This window comes from Homo sapiens, chromosome 11 (genome assembly GCF_000001405.40).
Source record: "Homo sapiens chromosome 11, GRCh38.p14 Primary Assembly".
NCBI lineage: Eukaryota > Metazoa > Chordata > Mammalia > Primates > Hominidae > Homo > Homo sapiens.
The window spans coordinates 131,857,640-131,876,740 of record NC_000011.10 but is presented as its reverse complement, the minus strand read 5'-3'; the positions used below and the strand labels follow the sequence as shown (position 1 = coordinate 131,876,740).

Below are 19,101 nucleotides of genomic sequence, written 5' to 3'. Positions count from 1 at the left end.
AGACAGAAAAAAATGAGGTTGTCTCACTCATATAACCTGGCCTCTCTCAGCTCTGGTTGCTGTGGAGAGTAGCATAAGTGATATCTCTTCAATGGTGGTTCTACTGCACAAAGAGAAAACAAAACGTTGTCTTCTGGCCTTCCAATGGCAGAATTTGACCTGCTTTTGGCTTTGAAATGCCTCATATGATATTCTTCTAGCAGATTTGTCTAATTATATTTTGCTTGGGCTAAGATTAAAATTAATTGGTCTTTTCATGATCACACATCAGGAGAGTAATAGGACCAGGCACCTGAGACCAAGCCAGGGATTAAAGATTGGTTATGGATAATCCACTAGCCAGAGAGTCTGAATGTGGTGGGAGATGAGTGGAGGAGACCCAGTGGGCCTCCGGCAGCTTGTTTATCACTGGCATCTTCATCACAAGCTTTATGTGACAGGATTTCTCCTGATGTGCCCACAGCTGCTGCCTCACTGCACGCACACAAGTGTGTGTACACAGGCACCCACACAGCTGGAGAAGCACACATATGCCTCCTTCTGCAACATGCACACTGTTGATTAGCCTCTGCGGAGTGCTGACTCTTGGAGAAAGACCAGATAAATCGCTTTGGAGAGGGAGAAAAGGAAAAAAATATGATAAAGAAAAAAAAATCTACTTTATCCCCCTTCAAATGCCACAAGAAAATGTCACGGAAATCGCTTTGCTGGAAATAACAGAGAAGTTCAAAACAAAATTGTTGAGTGTCACTCCTGGGCCCGACTCTCCCTTGCACTGGGCCCCTCCTCAGCCTGGGAGGCTCCTCGCTGCCTCTGCCACCACTCACCCTTCAGGATGCCACTGCTGCAGCCTCCAGGAACTGAAAAACAGTTCTTGGAAAGCCTTCCACTAAAGGGAGTAATCGAGAATAAACAAAGGACAAAGACATGAGTGGGAAAGAGCTCTTTCCCTGCCAGCTGGCCACTTCCAGCTCCAGGACAGTGTCCATGAAGCCCACAGAAGGGAGACTCATCATCATTTTCAATGTCGTCATTACCAAAAGCCTTTCTTATGCGATTCATTGTGCAAGGCTGTGTACAGAAACTGTTGAAGGATCCTTTTGCTTTCTTGTGACTTAAAATCCATGACATTTCACAATGCTACAAAAGGCGTCTCTGATTTCCTTGGGTATAGCTTTCTTTTTTCTTTTTAACTTTCTATTCTTCGTCTAATATAACAGCACCACAGTGCACAACAGTGCTTGGCTGAAGGACATGAAAACATAAATTTTCTGCATTATTATAGATTCATCCACTCATTCACTGATTCATTCAACATTCCAAAAATTCAGAGCCTACCATATTAAATACCAGGTCCTCAACCAGGCTGTCAAGACAGAGGTGTAAACAATTCACAGATCCTGCCTTCAAGGAACTCACCAAATATTATAAGCAGTGATGTTCAATCTCTTTTTTTCTTTTAAAGTGTAGGGAAACTTTCTCTACGTAAAATGTTTCCAGGAAGCCCAATGTATAAAACCAATAAACCAGAATTTTTTGATTAAGTGAGGAAGGATAGACAGTGAGGGGAAACATTTTAAGGAGAAAGTATTAAACCCATTCTATATGTGATGAAATAAGGCTCATGGGGTTTAAGTAGCTTTTCCAAGGCGCAGTGAACAAGTGGAGAATCCAGGACAAGGCCCCAGTTCTGTCTCAGCTTAAGTCTCTATTCTTGCCTTTGGCCGGCTGCTGCCCCATCAGGCCCCGTCATACAAATAGGCACCAAGAAGGGGACCTCAGCCCTCGCCTTCCTGAGTTTGTTCTTTACATAGTTAGTTAATAGAAAAACTCTCTTCAATTACAAATCACAACTAAGTTTCTCATTACTGCAGACCTATCCCTCGTACAGAAAATCCAACTGATAAGGGTTGAGAATTGGTATTATGATCCTTTTCCTGGGCTGGAATAAGACCTTTGGCAATAATACAGCCCTGATTAATCTTTGGATTAACCAAATCAAAATGATCCTAATTATTCCTTACATTTAGATGAACTAGTTTAGAGAACAATTTAGGCAGTTTTAGAAGGAATAGAGATAGATCTACGCAAAAGACAAATTTTTTATTAAACTAATTGCTAGTCCTTGGCTGAGAATGCACAAGAAATAGTAAAATAGTAAAGGTTTAACTACCACCCTCAAAACTGGGGCCTGTAAGATTTGAATGTTACAATTAAGAAACTTAGTCAATTGAAATATAAACTCTGGGTTTAAAATGTGTTTCATACGGTGTGCAACAATATTTCTTTAGTGGAGAATGTCTTAACTGTTATTTTGTTGTTGCTGCTGCTTGGTTTTTTTGTTTTTAAAAACAATTGAAAAAAATTAGCCATCATGATGAACACAATTCCTCTTCAAAGAAATGACTTAAAACCAGGATGACAAGCATGATAAAACACAGCATGCCACATGCCCTAGATTTATAGCTCTTGTTCCACATCTTGCTGGACTGTCAGTCAAAATGACTCATCCCATTTGTGTGCAGGAGAGGTGATGGGCCACATTTTCCCCAACCTACCTCTTTCCAGACCTTGAACTGTGGGAGCCCAGGTGAGACCAAGAAGGCCTTTATTTTTATTTTCTTTTCACATTGAAGCAACCATCAAGGCTTGGGACTAACACCCTGTTGCTGATATATATATATATATATATATATATATATATATATATTATATTATATTATATAAATATATTATATGTAAATATAATATATATAATATATAATATATAATATATATATAAAAGCTGGAAACCATCATTCTCAGCAAACTAACACAGGAGCAGAAAACCAAACACTGCATGTTCTCACTCATAAGTGGGAGCTGAACAATGAGAACACATGGACACAGGGTGGGGAATATCACACACTGGGGCCTGTTGGGGGATGGGGGCAAGGGGAGAGATAGCACCTGTTGTTTCCTGACTTTTTAATGATCGCCATTCTGATATATATGTATCAGCTGATATATATACATTAAAAGTGTGTGTGTGTATATATATATATGTGTGTATATATATGTGTGTATATATATATGTGTATATATATGTGTGTATATATATATGTGTATATATATATGTATATATATACGGTATATATATATGTATATATATACGGTATATATATATGTATATATATACGGTATATATATATGTATATATATACACACACACACACACACTTTAAGTTCTGGGATACATGTGCAGAACGTGCAGGTTTGCTACATAGCTGTACATGTGCCCTGGTGATTTGCTGCACCCATCAACCCATCATCTAGGTTTTAAGCCCCACATGCATTAGGTATTTCTCCTAACGCTGTATCTCCCCTTGCCCCCCATCCCCCAACAGGCCCCGGTGTGTGATGTTCCCTACCCTGTGTCCATGTGTTCTCATTGTTCAGCTCCCACTTATGAGTGAGAACATGCGGTGTTTGGTTTTCTGTTCCTGTGTTAGTTTGCTGAGAATGATGGTTTCCAGCTTCATCCATGTTCCTGAAAAGGACATGAACTCATTATTTTTATGGCTGCATAGTATTCCATGGTGTATATGTGCCACATTTTCTTTATCCAGTCTATCATTGATGGGCATTTGGGTTGGTTCCAAGTCTTTGCTATTGTAAATGGTGCTGCAATAAACATACATGTGCATGTGTCTCACACCGGTCAGAATGGCGATCATTAAAAAGTCAGGACACAACAGGTGCTGGAGAGGATGTGGAGAAATAGGAACGTTTTTACATTGTTGGTGGGAGTGTAAATGAGTTCAACCATTGTGGAAGACAGTGTAGTGATTCCTCAAGGATCTAGAAGCAGAAATACCATTTGACCCAGCAATCTCATTACTGGGTATATGCATAAAGGATTATAAATCATTCTCTTGCTGGTTTTAAGTGTCAACATTGTCCCCTATAAATCTGGTCTAATTACCCCACAGTATGATACTATAATTCTTTAACAAAATCTTAATGGTACCAGCTTTCAATCTAGCCACTATCAAATGATATAAAAATATGAATCACCAAATTAGACGGGCTCTTAAAATACTACAATTCCATTTTATACTCATAAATACACCATTCATATTCTTTCAACTATACATGCACACATGCAGAGAGATATACCAACTCCTTTGGGCTTCTGCAAAATTTACCAAAATTTGACAGAGAGCCAGAAAATGATAGGTAACTGTTTGGTAATGTGAGCAGGATGGCTTTTGTGAAGTGGAAAACATGATCATAGATCCTGGCTGAACAAGCCAATATGTGAGGCAGCCACTGGCCCTTTTGGGGAATCAAGACAAATGAAACAACAAGAACGAAGGACACTGAGAAATCGACGAATCTAAGTATTCCTCAGTATGTCAATATCTATTTCTCCTTGTGCATAACCATTCTGCCACTTCCCACCCAAAAGCCAGTTGCTGCTGAGCCATAGTAAAACTCCAGGGAGGACTTTCTCAAGGTTAATTAAAGGCTGGCCCAAGCTCCTGAGTTCTGTTTCCTCACCTGTTTGTGAATAGTTTGTGCCAGATCTGCGTGACCCTGCTTTACTCTTGATTGAGGGTGGCTGGAATTTGGTGGAATTGTACCCAGTGGAGAATGATTTGGTAATAAGATGTCTTAGAGGCACTGACACACAATCCAGTAGCATGAAAGAATAAATGAAACTCCTGAATGTGGCAAGGGAGTGTACATGAAGACATGTGTACACAGCATGTCTTCAGGAAGAGCTTGGAAATCCCTTGAAGATACTGACACATTCCTCCAAATTTTAGGACTGAAATTGGCTGAAGCTCTTTATTCTTCATAGGGAGAAACTGCAGGAGCTGCAGGGAAACAAGGAAGAGAAGACACAGTACCTGATGACAAAGGAAAGACCTAGGGGACCAACAGTGGCAAATGCAGAAAGAAAAGGAAGAAAGACTTCCCCAGGGAGCCCAGGGCAGGGTGGCCTACAGGAGCCACAAAGCATGATGAGTCTCTAGAGGGGAGGGAGAGAGGAGCAGCTAACAGGTGCAATCCTCTCTCCATGCATCTCCTTGGATTAACAGGGAGAGAACAAGCCCATAAATGCAAAGTATTCATATTGATAAACTATTTGTGTAAGCTTATAGAAATCAATTAATAAACATAGAAGAGGCAACAATGCATAAACAATGTTTGATCGCTAATAGCTATAGTTGTATCATCATAGTATAAACCACACTATAATAACATTCAGTCATGCTGTGTCTGCCTGCCTGTGATACCTCCACTTCCTCAGAAGTCACTCATTGCCTCAGTAGCTTTATTTATTTACTCATGATTTATATTCCACCTACTTGGAAAAAGGGTCTGAGACAGCTTGTGATGTTAAAATATATATGAAGCAGAATAGCTACAAATGAAAATAGGAACACAAAGTTAAAATGAACAAGGAAAGAAATGTATCCAGCACCACCTGGGCTGGGCGACTGAGCACCACTGAGCACTAAATTTAACTCTGAGCTGCCAAGACTCAGAGGGACAACGTATGTTGGTTTTCATGTTCTCCCTGATTAAAACACAAGCATACCCACTCACATGATCACACAAACTCTTTCTTGGTAGTGTTTTGCATGTGCAGCAACAGATAATAAACTCACAATAGATTCAGCTACAGTCTCATAAAAATGTAATGGTGCTTTCAGATGAGCTTTCTCACATTTGTTCCTTCTGTATGGCAGCTTGTAGATTCTGTATTTAGGTTAGGTCAGGTCCTTAAATAGACCCAATCTTACCACCTTCTTTCTGCTACACCTACTATAGCAGGTCTGAAATAGGACTATTTTTTAAAAGACGCATTTGAGTCTTCATCTCAAATATGTTGCATTTTAGGGGAGGTGGGGAGACCGAAGATAAGCTTTTTTTGAAAATTAAGTATTGGGTAGTACATGTGGGTTATTTCTTAGGCTCATTTCTGATTGAGAAATGCTGTGTCCTGTGCTAAAAGGGTTTTATTTCAATCATTTTCTCTCTGAGAATTGGCTTCTAAATTTTGCAAGTTGTTGTCTTTTTATCAGCACTTTCTCCCCCTTAAGATTCAAGGGAATAGAATTCCTTGAACCTCAGAAAAGGTAGGGAGGGGTGAGAGAAGCTGCTCAGAGCTACAAAGGGGCACTGCTTAAAGAGGAGGGCCCTCGCTGGCTCACAGCCTGGAATCCAACCTTAGGCTAGGCTAAGCTCCAGACATATGACCAGGCTGGGGCACCCATCAGGCGGGACAAGGGCTGCCAAGCTTTCTACTCAGAGGAAAGAGACCATCATTCAGAGAGCACCCAATATTCAACCAGGAGCCATTGCTAGGCATTGCACACATACAACTTCAGTTAGTGTGCTATTTCATTTGCAATAGTATTATTATCCCATTTTGTTAATAAAGAAACCACTGCTCTGAAAATTAAAGTAGCTTTCCCAAGATCATGTAAGTAAATGGTAAAACCAGGATTCATTTCAGCTGTCTCTAAATCCAAAGCCCATCCACTTTCTTTCTACTGTGACTTCAGCATGGAACTATTTTTCCTTCCCCTAAGCTTTTGCCTTCACAAGAGTGCATGAAAATGGACTCGATAAAAGCAAAGACTCGAGCCAGAATTCCCAGGCTTCTATCCCAGCTTCACCTCCTGAAGGTGAGGGCCATTCATCAAGTTACTTAAACTTCCTGTGTCTGTTTTCCATCTTGTAAAATTAGCGTCTGCTCTGTACAGCTGAGGTGTGAATGAAATAAGATGACTTTTGCATAGCACATGGTCTGTGATCAGTAAATATCGGCTGACTTAAAGCTGTACCAACAGTGAAGTCCTTAAGGCATAGGAAAGGTGAGTGAGAGCCGTGCTCACAGAGCAGTAACTGTTCAGAGCTGGATGGGCCAGGCTCTAACCTTAAGATTTGCTTCCATTTCAATGGGAATTCCAGGAGCTATCTTAGATGAGGAAGGACAAGGGACAAGGAAGAAAGCATGGGACAGTGGCACCTGGGCCTGAGATCTACAATTAAATTAAATTTTCTGAATTATCACTGAAGTTTCCTTCTGTTTCTAAAAGTCTATCATCCTCCTAAGAATAAAATAAAATGAGAGCATAAATTTTTAGAAATAGCAGTTGGAAGGCTACAAGCTGGCATCGACTAAGCCATCTGAAATAATTTTAAATTTTACTTGGGACAAAAGATGAGCAAGGACAGGATGAGCCAATTTCTCGGGAAGCCAGTGAAATGTTAACAGATGCCGGAGACAGTAGAACTTCTTCACTCTTATATTGCTTCCACATCTACCCCGAAGGAGAGTGGGGAAGTCTTCAAGCTACGAAAGGTAGAAGGAGTTGTTGTAAATCACACAATGACTGGCAGGGCCGGAAAGGACTCCTCCTCTGAAACAATGGTTTTCCAACAAGTCATAGCGCGTAGGCGGGGAGAAGCAGCTATGAGTTTGCGCCTGTTCCCTCTTCCAGTCATCAAGGAAGGGAGAGGGCCCGGGAGATAAACTTGCCTGACGCTAGGGGATAGCACACACATTAAAAAAAGTGAAATCTACTAATTTTTACTCATGTTCTCAATTGAGAGTTGAGGATACTGAAGGCACATTGCGGGGGGCTGGGGGGTGATTGCACGTGGTCATGCTGTCTGTCAGTGGGAAAGACTGAGCTGAGGAAACCACCATAAACCACGTCAAATGCAGGCTGAGCTGGGAAAAATGTATGTAAGGTCAAATACTTGTATTCATTTGCCCACAAAACTTTATTGAGTTCCTATATGCAACAGTAGTGGGAAAACAAAGTGGTGAGTCTCTTCAAGACAGAGGGATGGGATGTGAATACAGATAATCACAGTGAAAGGCCCAGGTTACAGCAGAGGGGTCAAGAGGAAGTGCCTGGAGAGATCAGAGCAGGAAATAGATCTTTCTTGCTGATGTCATCAGGACAGCCTTATAGGGAAGGTAGCATGTGAAGGGGAGATTTGAGGAGTCATTTGGAAATAAAATACGACGAGGACAAATTGAAAAAGAAAACAATAACAAAGGTAGAGTGACACAGAGCTCAGGGTGTGCACGGACATCGCAAGAAACTCAGTTTGGCTCTCGAAGAGGGAGGGCAAAAGAGGTGACCCAGTGTGAGGCTGGAAAGGTGTGTCATTTCCAGATTGGAGCCAGGCTACAGCCGGGTTTGATTCTGCAGCTGCTGGCAGTGGCGGCCCACTGAAGGGTCTGCACAGAGCCCGACACAATCAGAGCTGGGCTGGAAGGTTAACCTTGTGGTGGTGTGGAGAGGGCCGGAGTGCGGAAAGCCCACAGGCAGGGAGGCCAGTTAGGAGACCATTGAATGAGCTCAGGTGGGAGGTGATCAAAGACTGTACTGGACAGGAAGGAAAAAGAGGTAGGAGGGAGGTTTTGATACGAAAGACTGGGACAAAAAAGGGTGGGTGGCTGCGGGGCTTGGACAGAGTGAGGGCGAGGAAACAAAAACGCCAGAGAATTCAGCTCCTTTTTTTCTCATCTGTAAAGCAAAAGGATGCCTTGGATTCTTTAAGGTTTATCCAGACTTTAAAATTCTAATTCTAAACTGGCTACAGGGGGACCCTTATCTCCCAATCACACACTGAAATAAAGCAAGGTACGATGTATTTAGTTTCCACCTGCAATTCAATCAGCAAGTCAAAACAATACTGGCTTCGTAGTGAAGAAGCAAGACTCCAGGGTGTGTTTGGGGTTTCCTCTCTCTCCATGCAGATAGCTCTTCCACTCAACATGGTCATTCTTTCTGAGGTCTCCAGCAAACCAAAACAGCTGGCAGTTCAGCCTGGCCTCCCGCAAAACTGTACCTTCAGCTCCATCTGCTGGTGGTGGGGTTCCGTGGCCTGTGCTTGTGTGTAAACCAAGTCCTCATTTTGTGCCCCAACACCCTCTCTGCAAATCTCATGCCCGCATCATACACACAGGCATATACATACACACAGACACATTTACACACACAGACACCCAGACCTAGACTCCTACAGACACACAGACATACATATGAAGAAATGCACACATGGTTATACATACAGATACACAGACATAAACACAGACACACACATGCATACATACACACACAGGTATGTGTACACACACATACACACAGGCAGACACACACAGACACCCAAACACGCACACACACAGATACACTTACACAATACACACGTGTACACACGCTCACAGATAAACAGGTAGACACACACTCAGACACACACAGACACACACACACATACACATATGGTTATTCACACTGATACACACAGACGTAAACACACATACAGACACACACGGTCACACACACACCCCCAGACACACAGACAAACATACAGGCAGACCTCTCCATCCGCACGCACACAGCGTTTTCCTCCTTGCTGCAACCTCTCCACTCCAGCCTTTGCGGATCCTTCCAACTTCCCCACTGCGTTTAGGCATCCCTGAGACCTGCTCTCTGGCAGGCTGGATGTGTAAGTGGGACCACATTCTTTCCCGAGCCCTGCACAAAGCGTAAATAGCAGATGGGTAGGACTGCAGTCTTTGAGAAGACACACAGTTGGACACCTGAAAAGCTAATTTCCTGGCTAATTTACTTTTGGGCTGCTAATTGATCCTGCGATTGCACCCTGTCCTCCCCTCCCCTAGTCCAAGAGGCCCAGAAGGAAAGGGAGTGCCCCCTTCCCCCACCTCCTCCCTGTTCTCCATCTTGGCTGCCGCGCACTGTCCTTGCTGTCATTCCACGGGAACTGGGAAGACACCTGGTTCCTCCAAAAACATTTCCTATTAATCTACTTTCCCTGAAGATATCAGTTTGTCTAAAGAATCCTAGGTTCAAACAGATTTTATTTTTAAGCCAAAAAAAATCACGACATTGTAGTGAAATCGCCACTTTTTTTTAAGAAAAATGCCATTCCCAGTCACATCTCTTAATAGCTGCCTCCTGGTGGCAGCCTAAATGATGAATCCACCAACCTGTTTAAAATGTAAGGGAGGTGATTTCAAAAATAATCCGAGGGTGTTTCTGACTGCAAATGCAAATTCCTTTGTCAGCAGTCTTGGGCGCCATGGAGGGCGCAGGTATTTTTAGTCCATATAGATTTGCAGGGGAGGGGGAGACACACAGTTCACCCACTAAATTAATGTGAGGTGGGTCTTAGTTTTGCATACTCATTCCTTTGGGATTTGGAGCTCTGAAGGCATGGCCAACCTGGCCCTACGGAGGAGTCAGGGCAGGTCCCCGTGCCTAAGGCCTGCCCTTGGGTTTGTTCCAGGCTTCTGGCCCCAAGGAGCTGGGACTGAGAAATAGGCCTCGGGCTGCAAAACACAGCCAGCAACCTGCAGATGCCATTGAGGGGGACAGCCCCACCCCCACAGGCAATCTTTGCTTTGTTTTTTATTTATTCCCATGTAAATTTGGGACAAGGCTGAATGGAAAAAGAAGGGTGAAAAGGAAGCACCTGCCAACGCATGCATGTGTGTGTGCAGCATGAGGGTGTGAACAGCATGTGGTGTGTGTGCTGTGTGTGTGCACCGTGTGTGTGCGGCATGCATGTGTATGTGAGGCATGTGTGTGCAGCATGTGTGTGTGTGTGCATGTAGCATGTGTGAGAGTGTGTGGGGTGTGTGTGTAGTGTGTGTGTAGCATGTGTGTATGTAGCATGTGTGAGAGTGTGGCATGTGTGTATGTAGCATGTGTGAGAGTGTGTGGGAGGTGTATGTGTAGCATGTGTGTATGTAGCATGTGTGAGTGTGGGAGGTGTGTGTGTAGCATGTGTGTATGTAGCATGTGTGAATGTGGGAGGTGTGTGTGTAGCATGTGTGTATGTAGCATGTGTGAGTGTGGGAGGTGTGTGTGTAGCATGTGTGTATGTAGCATGTGTGAGTGTGGGAGGTGTGTGTGTAGCATGTGTGTATGTAGCATGTGTGTGTAGCTTGTGTGTGTGCAACGTGTGAGAGCAGGTGGGGTGTGTCAGTGTGTGGGGTGTCTGTGTTTTTGGTGTGTATGTGAGTGTGTGTGTAGTGTGTACCTGTGTGTGTGCACCTGTGAGCATAAGAGGGTTGAGCAGGGTGTGAGGGCAGGGAGCCTGCCCCACTAGGCCAGGCTAAGCACGTGCATGCAACTGTACTAAGAATCTGCTAGCATTGTTCTGTTTGCTTGTTTTGGGTTTTGATTTTTAAACCAGCTATCAAGTGCAGAGCACAAGGGAATTGTTAGGCTGGGTGAGCACAATACAGTGATTGCCTTTGGAATAGCTCCGGTGGTAACCAATCACATAGTTCATATAAATACAACACATTCAGGGGTCTTCTGGACACTCCCAACTTCACACATTGATTTATATTATGCTCACAAGCACATTGTTACCTGGCAAACTGTATACTCTGAATTTTGTCTTGGTGTGACATAGTAAAACAGGCTTTGGGATCCAACAGAAGGGGCTTGAGTGTTGGCTTTTGCCATTTGTCAGCCATGTGATCAGGGGTAGGCTACTCGATCTTTCTAAGCCTCAGCATTCTTATCTGTAAATGGGGATACTAATACCTGCCTTTGGGGACTTGTACATTGTCTCAGGGTAGAGCGCATGATACAGCCCAGAAAATGAAGCATGTGCTCATCTAACAAAGACTGGGCAACTTGAGGCAGGTTCCAGAACATGGAACACCCACACAGAATGGTGCTGGAGGTGGGAGACCCACTGGGCCGGTGCGGGAGAGGTTGCCAAGCTTTCCTCTTTCCCAAGCTCAGGCCCTGCTGGCTCAGTCGACTGTCAGTTGTCTAAGCCCAGAAACATTACAGGGCAGAACTGGGAAAGAATCATGGACATTAAAAAGGGCAGATATCAGCTCAACATTAGGAGAGACATTCTGAATATGAGAACTGTCCAAAATGGACCAGGAGGTAACAAGCTCCCTCTCACCAGTTGTGTTCAAACAATGCCAGGAAATCCTGGTCAGAGGTGGCACATAGGGAAACTCTTTCATGCAGTAGAAGGTCCGACTATATCAAAACCAAAATCGAACATTCCCTCAATGCTAACAGTCTTTGTTTCTGTGAAAAAGAAAGAGGGTATTGCTACTCTTATTCTCCCTTGAAACCTAACACTCTAGAAGTCCCTGGTCCCTGCTGGAGGCAAAGAAATAATAGGAAACCTCCAGGGTTTCAGAGCCTTGCACTGGGACCATTAAGCAATCCATTTACAGCAAGAGGGAGAGTGAGCCTGAGAGTCAGGTTTAAAATGATAATTAGCCTTTGTGATAGTCTTAATTGAAACCAGTCAGTCCAGCGGGAGGAGTTCCTGGACCAATCCTGCCTATTAGGCTCTCCAGCAGCAGGAGAATCCTGCTGTCACATGACAAGCTCCAGGGACTGACCAGAAGCCCGCATTAAGCAAAGGAGTCGCTCCACACTCTTTCCTTCCTGATGGATCCTGCCCTGATGGATTTGTTTCGTCTTTCGTTGGATTGCTTTTCTCCCCTGCCCCTTTTCTTGTCTAAATCTTTACATTTCAAGAGGATATATAACATCCTAAATTAGATAGTCCTTCTATTTCTTGTCTTCAGGGTAATTGTGTGATTGACTGATCTAACTCCCTGCCTCTCACTTCTCTTCCTTCCTTCCCTCCTTTCCTCCCTGACCCCCGACTTCTTATGCTGGGCACTCCATGCATTCCATTTCTTATTCTGCCAACACTCCATTTCTACAAGGAAATTCATCAGGTGCACTTTTGGGGCCTGCTCTGGTTTATCTGAAACTTGATTATGTTCAGTTACATAGTATGTCATCAAAACTAGCTCTGATATTTAAATGTGAGTAAATCAAAATGCATCCTCAATTTTGCCAGGCCTACAAGCGCTGGCTGGTCCTCCCCAGCCATGTGGCATGGGAGCTCATGTTTGATTGGCAGCAGGACATCCTGAACCTGTGGAAGATTTTTAGGGAAGAGAAGGCAGATGGGAGGAGGGAGGGACCTGAGTCTGTGCTCATGTTTCTCCATATCCCGCTCTTGTGGACGTCAGACAGGACAGTATTCAGCTTTCCATGTTATGGTTTGCAGGTTCAGTTTAGAAAGAAGGAAAGGGAAATCCCCTTCCTCATTCAAACATGAATCTCTAGCTCATGGCCTTTGCATTCGACTATATTTCTGCAGTTCCAAGGTTAGAATGCTGAGTGTCAGTGATGCTGAGGAGTGGCTGAGTGACTTGGAGCATCGCTTCCTGGACCCAGGTTACAGTACTTCTCAATGACAGTCTGACTGCACTCAGCCTGCTGCACAGTGGAGTCAGGAGGACCCCAAGAACATCTGCTGACACCAGGTTTGCAATAAAGAAAAAGGACATGGAGACACCAGGAAATGGAATGGGAAACATCAACAACACCTGGATGAAATCTTTCAGAAGCAGGCTTTGAGGAGCACCATCAGGGTGCCAGAGACAGCAGCCCTGAGGTGAAATGCCCAGGGCTTCACCAGTTCCCCCTTTCTTCACTGCCTGATTGGCCACTCTCAACACACATGATGATGGTTTGCAATCTCACTCTTCCTAGAAATTTTGGTTCCACCTTCCAAAACACCATACATGTGAGTAGCACAATTTTGCAAATGGAGGAAGTCAATATGGTACCATGAAAGAACACTGCTCTTGAGTCTAGAGACCCTGGCTGAAGAATGTCTTGTTCTTGTACTACCCAAGGGAAGCCTCCTCAGCTTCCTCGTTTTAGACAGGATAAGCTTCAGTGAGATGACCTCAATGTCACTTCTAGTCTGGAATCCTAAAATCCTATAGGAACATCTGTGAGGCATGGAGGATAGCAACCAGACTTCCTCTCTCCGCTCTGAAAGGCTTGAGAGATTGTCTCTATATGTTTTAGTCAATTCAGCTAGGTTTATACTTAAACCTGAAGACAGACATCCAATAACTCATATTTCGAGGTTTGGAGCCATCTTGTCCTAAAATAAATACCAGTTTGCAGTTTCATGAAAGCAGAAAAGTCACAGCCTTTGCTATAAGAGGAACATGAAAGTCCTTTACAACTCCAATGTGAGCAAAAATCTGAATTTTAGGACAGTTTTTGAAACTAGGGACTTAGATATGGTATATTCTTTTAAAATATAACCTTACCATCAAACAAAAATAAAAAACAACCCTCGATTCATACATAACAACTAGGCAATTGTGTTCATTCTCAAGATTAGTACTGTCTAGGACACAGCAATAAATATGCAGAATGAAGAAATGAGTGAATGAATTAAGGAGACTTCCACCTGAAACATGGACTCCTGGGATAGGGTTGCTCAGTTCTGTTGAAGCCTTCCTCAGGGACCAGGAAGTTGCTATCTTGTCTGATGGCTTTCTTTTGTCAGGAGTTGGGGAGAAAGTCAGTTAAAATTACTTCTTTAAGTCGGGCTCAAACTTGACTTTGTGTTCTCTGTACTCTTGGCCCCAGTTGTGCCCTCAGAGTGACCCAGAAATACATGTTCCCTCCTCCACAGGGCTGTTCTCTCCTCAGACAGTTACAATGCTAAAATTCTCAGACAGTCTGAGAATCCCCAGATCAACTGAGACCTGGCTTTGCAACACACGTGCTCTGCCCACAAAGATCCTTGTAGATTTACCTTCAGAATCACATTTTGCTCAGGCTGATATTAAACTGAACTGTGGTCCTTGAGACCGCACTAAGAGCAGCCAACGAAGAGTCAGGTGAGCTGGATGCCTCCCCTGGGGTTTAACAGTGGGCTCTGGATGTGCAGAGGAGTGGTGAAGAGCTGACCAGACCCACGTGCATTTGGGACCTGTGAACACCTCTGAATGTGGAGTGGAGACAGGCCTACCTAGTGTTCACTAGTCTCAGACCACTGCCTATGACAATGTTCTGCACCAGCTGGTAGCACTGCAAGCTGCTGTGTGGCCTACAACACCTTTTTTTCTTTTCTCTCTCTCTTTTTTTTTCTTTTTGCATTTTAAGACATATTCATTAGTGAAATATCAGAAACCTCAGGGGCAGCATGTGCTTCTAATTCATTTTCCAATTGTATAATGAGCCAGGAGTGAAATTTTTAGGGTGAATTTAATTGACCTTTACAGCAACATCAGGCAGATTGGCTTAAATGCTATTAAAGCAAAATGTAACCCGGTGAGACTTTCTAGAAGGTTATCGGAAAATCTATCAAGTTGTTTTTCCTTAATTTTTATCAAGAAAGGAAAAGCTAGATAGAGGACATAGAAGGATGAACAGACAGAGAGACAGAAGGAAAGAGATTTACGGCAGGAAAGAGATGGGCCTGGAAGAGAGAAATGAATCCCAGGGAGGGGGAGGGGCCACCCAAGCCCCTCACTGCTGGGGGATTACGTTTTAATTTAGAAAGGCTGCTTGAAATTGTGCAATTATACCACAGGTCACATTGGTCTAAAGTCTTTTTAGCACTTGGGGATAGGACCGTACAGCCTTCTTTTTATTAATATTTTGGTGTTGATGTGTAGGCCCTTCCTAGCTCTTCATAATAGAGCTCACATGCAATGGAAAATGATGTCTTCTTTTGGCAGCTGACAGGGATATTTTTTCTGACTCCACTGTCCCCTTCATGCTCAGCTCTCAGTAACAGGATACCCATGGGAAAGCCAGAAAGCCAGGGGTAGGGCTGAAGAAATCCTAGGGGACTAAGATTACACCCTAAGGGAAGTGGAGGCCAACCGACAGGGTGCAAAAGCCCCTGGCAAATCAGGCTCGATTCTAAGTGATGCCAGCTCACAAGGAGGTGCCCAGTTGTGGACATCAGTGTCTTTGGCATTATCATGCCTCTGGCAGCCAGGCCTTTTTCATAAGTATGTAGCCAGCAAGAGACAGGGAGATAAACGTGTGTCCATGAAGGTTGTGCAAATCAGAAAGATGATGTAGCCCCACCATCACCTCTACCAAGGAAATGTAGCTAAGAATTCAGGGGGTGGTGAAAGTGTACTTCCTGGGACCTGCTGCCCTTAGAAAGGCCTGCTTGCATGGTTGGTCCTTGGCTGGCACCAGAAAACTTGGATTTCAGGAAGGTTTCCACTGTTCGTTAACTAGTAAGCGTGGCTCCTTGTGCCTAGATTATCCGTGCAAGCAATGTGGTTTATGCTGAATACGTATTTTCCTTCTGGGAATCTGGTATGTTAGTAAGTGCTAGGGAGAGGGTGACGATATGACCAGCGTCCAGTTAAGACCTTAGACTCTGAGTCTCTACTGGGCTTCCCTGGGCAGAAACATCCCACATGTTTTGCTGCATTTTTGTGGAGGGACAGTGGGCTCTGTGGGACCCTCTTGGGACGGAAAGAGCATAAGAAAGTCTCACATGGGTTCCTTCAGACTCTGCCTGTGCCTTGACCCCTTATGATCCAGCCCTGTGTCCTCACCATGGCACAGGAATAAAGCCCAGCCATGAGCAGCACTGTGTGCTGAGTCTCAGGAGCCCTTCCAGAGACCCTCCAAACACGAGATGGTCATGGGGGCCCCGTCAGTCCCTCTCTCAGTGAAGGCTGTCTCACTAGCTCTTGTCCTTCCCTCAATTCTAAACCTCACACCTGCCCTGAAATCTTTTTGACATTGACGGAGGCTGTAGATAGGAGCTGAGGCCCGATATAGACGCATCATCCCCCAGGAGTGACTAAGCTCTCTGCACTCAGCAGACTCTAATAGATATCAGAGTTACTCACATATAAGAAACACATGTTCCTTTCTGCCAAGGAACCTCCAGACAAAGGGGGAGTGGGGAGGAAGTGAGAAAAGGGGAAAAGCTGCCCTTACTGATAAGAACAACCTTTAATAGTCTCAGAAAGAGAAAAGGAGAAAAAAAAAAGGGGAGGCACTTCTAAAATGGAAATACAAAGTGTCTCAGAATCTATTTTTACTATCATAATCGACATCATCCTCTTCAATACTGTTTGTAGAGCACTTCCGTTAAACCAGGCATTTGCAAAGCCTTTTACATATGTTGATTTCAGCTAGCATTCACCATGGGATGCACTAGAGAATGAGTGTTATTATTATTCCTATTTTCCAGATGAGGAAACCAAGGGAAAGAGCGGTTATAGAAAGTAGCCAAGTCACAGAACTGGAAAGTAATGGAACCAAGATCCCACTCGAGTATGTGTCTCAAGAACACAAGTGAAGTCTCAGAGCATCACCCTCTCAAGTCTTGTTAGACTTGTAAAATATGGTTAAAATGGGAGAAAGATAAAACAACCCTCAAAGGACTACTCGAAAGGGACAAGAGGCAGTCATACTCTTAATTGTCCCTTGAGACACCTGGATTCCCAGTAGCACATACGGGAAAGTCAACCGTACCAAGGTCTTTATTAGCTCCAGATTTTCAGTCCTCTATACAGTTTTAAGAAATAAGAGCTTTCTTGAAACCTTAATTTTCAAAAGTTTTATTTTTTCTACTGGTCAGGATTATAGATTTTTAGAGCACTCTTAGATGACACAAAATATTTACTAAATTGTGAACTCTATAAACATAACCATATTCTCTGAAACATACCTGGCACCAGGAAGACACCCGATGTGTCTCTCGGATGAATGGACGGACAGACGGACAGACGGATGCACACATGGATGGACGGATGGATGGATGGATGGATGTTGAAGGGGAAAATAGACTTTGAGGAATTGAAATGATTTCCTAGGAGCTGAAGTGCGGCAAAACTCTGACTGGCTGAGGTTGTGATGTTTACGTTCCATTTTCCAGGCTGAGAATGAATTAGGTTACAGGAGTGAAGTTGCTCTCTACTAGCTACTTCCGCATTTAAAACACCTGAGCTGCCCTCTGTAGAAGCAGGGTGGGGACTATTTGGTGAGCAGAAGTTTGGAGTTGCCTGGATTATTGCCAATTTCACAGTATTTGGGGATTTGCAAAGAAAGATTAAGCCCCACAGATTATGTGCTAGTCTTTCACTCCCTCGTTCCCTATTCCAGAAGGGAGGATTCAGACGAGAGCAATTCCAGCTGCTGCGGCTCAACGTGCTGCAGAGCTGCTTCAGCAAAGCCAGTGAGCTCGGTGTCCGCTTAGGTGAGAACAAAGCACCTGCGGCTGCTATTGCCTCATTTGCAGGGCTCTTCTCACTTAACTTACCATCCGATTTTATATTCACTTAGCCCACCAGCGTGCGGAAAACCTCCTGGGTTCTACGAATGGTGACAATTTATACATGTGTTGATTTACTCAAAAAATACTGAGCTCCTCACATTGGCCAGATTCTTTAGTAGAAGACGGAGATACAAGGATTGTCCAAACAGCATTCCCCTCTGCTCTTAGCCCAACTGGGGAAACAGATAAATATTTCAATAATTGCAAAGCAATGTGTCTAATAATATGTGCATGGGTGGGGGCGGGTAAGGAGAAATGGAAAGAGAGAGGGAGAGAGGGAGAGAATCAACTTGCTCATCCTGGCCTATTCATAGAAGCTTCCGCAAAGTAACTAACAGAAGCAGAGCCAATGAAAAGAAATGAAAAAGTATAGCATGAAGAAAAGAGAGTGTGTAGGAAGGCAAGGGTTAGCATTTCAAGCAAACACAATAGCATGTACAGAAATCACAAAACAACTTATGTATTCCAGAACCTCATAAGAGCTCAGTATGATAAAATGTAGACTGGAAAGGAAGGGTGAGGCATGGGCGGGGCGGAGGCTGGAAGAGATGGAGTAGGCAGAGAGAGGGGTATGAAGGAAATTGGGGGAGACAGAGAAAGGGGGAGAGCTGTCAGGAACCAGACAATAAAGGGTCTTTTATGTTACCTGAAGGAGACGAAGCTCAATCCTGCAAATGATGAGATGTCATTGGAATAACTTGATCAGATTTCTAGTTTAGAAAGGTCATCTAGCAGGAGGGTGCAGGGAGGATGATTGGAGGTGGGTGAGCCAGGAGATAAGGAGACAAGTTAGGAGACAATAACATAGACTAAACAAGAAATAATAGGCCAGGATTAAGGCTTTAGCAATGGAGATAGGAAAGATGTACAAATCTGCGGTGTCATTTAGTGAGGGTGAGGGAGAAGGAGAAATCCTGACTAGCTTTCAAA

The 19,101-nt window shown here is 43.8% G+C and overlaps 1 protein-coding gene across 22 annotated transcripts in view, besides 3 other annotated features; it reads right to left on the bottom strand.

Annotated features, from left to right (window-relative positions):
• NTM (neurotrimin) overlaps positions 1-19,101 on the bottom strand; it is a 966,208-nt gene that overhangs the window by 460,082 nt on the left and 487,025 nt on the right. The window lies entirely within an intron of this gene.
• Positions 7,749-8,274: an enhancer, noted in NCBI's record as "H3K4me1 hESC enhancer chr11:131738361-131738886 (GRCh37/hg19 assembly coordinates)". NCBI's record gives its function as "activates a minimal SCP1, AML or CMV promoter by ChIP-STARR-seq in primed H9 embryonic stem cells {active_cell/tissue: H9 hESC(primed)}" and the evidence as "EXISTENCE:reporter gene assay evidence [ECO:0000049][PMID:30033119]".
• Positions 8,275-8,800: an enhancer, noted in NCBI's record as "H3K4me1 hESC enhancer chr11:131737835-131738360 (GRCh37/hg19 assembly coordinates)". NCBI's record gives its function as "activates a minimal SCP1, AML or CMV promoter by ChIP-STARR-seq in primed H9 embryonic stem cells {active_cell/tissue: H9 hESC(primed)}" and the evidence as "EXISTENCE:reporter gene assay evidence [ECO:0000049][PMID:30033119]".
• Positions 10,405-10,911: an enhancer, noted in NCBI's record as "H3K4me1 hESC enhancer chr11:131735724-131736230 (GRCh37/hg19 assembly coordinates)". NCBI's record gives its function as "activates a minimal SCP1, AML or CMV promoter by ChIP-STARR-seq in naive H9 embryonic stem cells {active_cell/tissue: H9 hESC(naive)}" and the evidence as "EXISTENCE:reporter gene assay evidence [ECO:0000049][PMID:30033119]".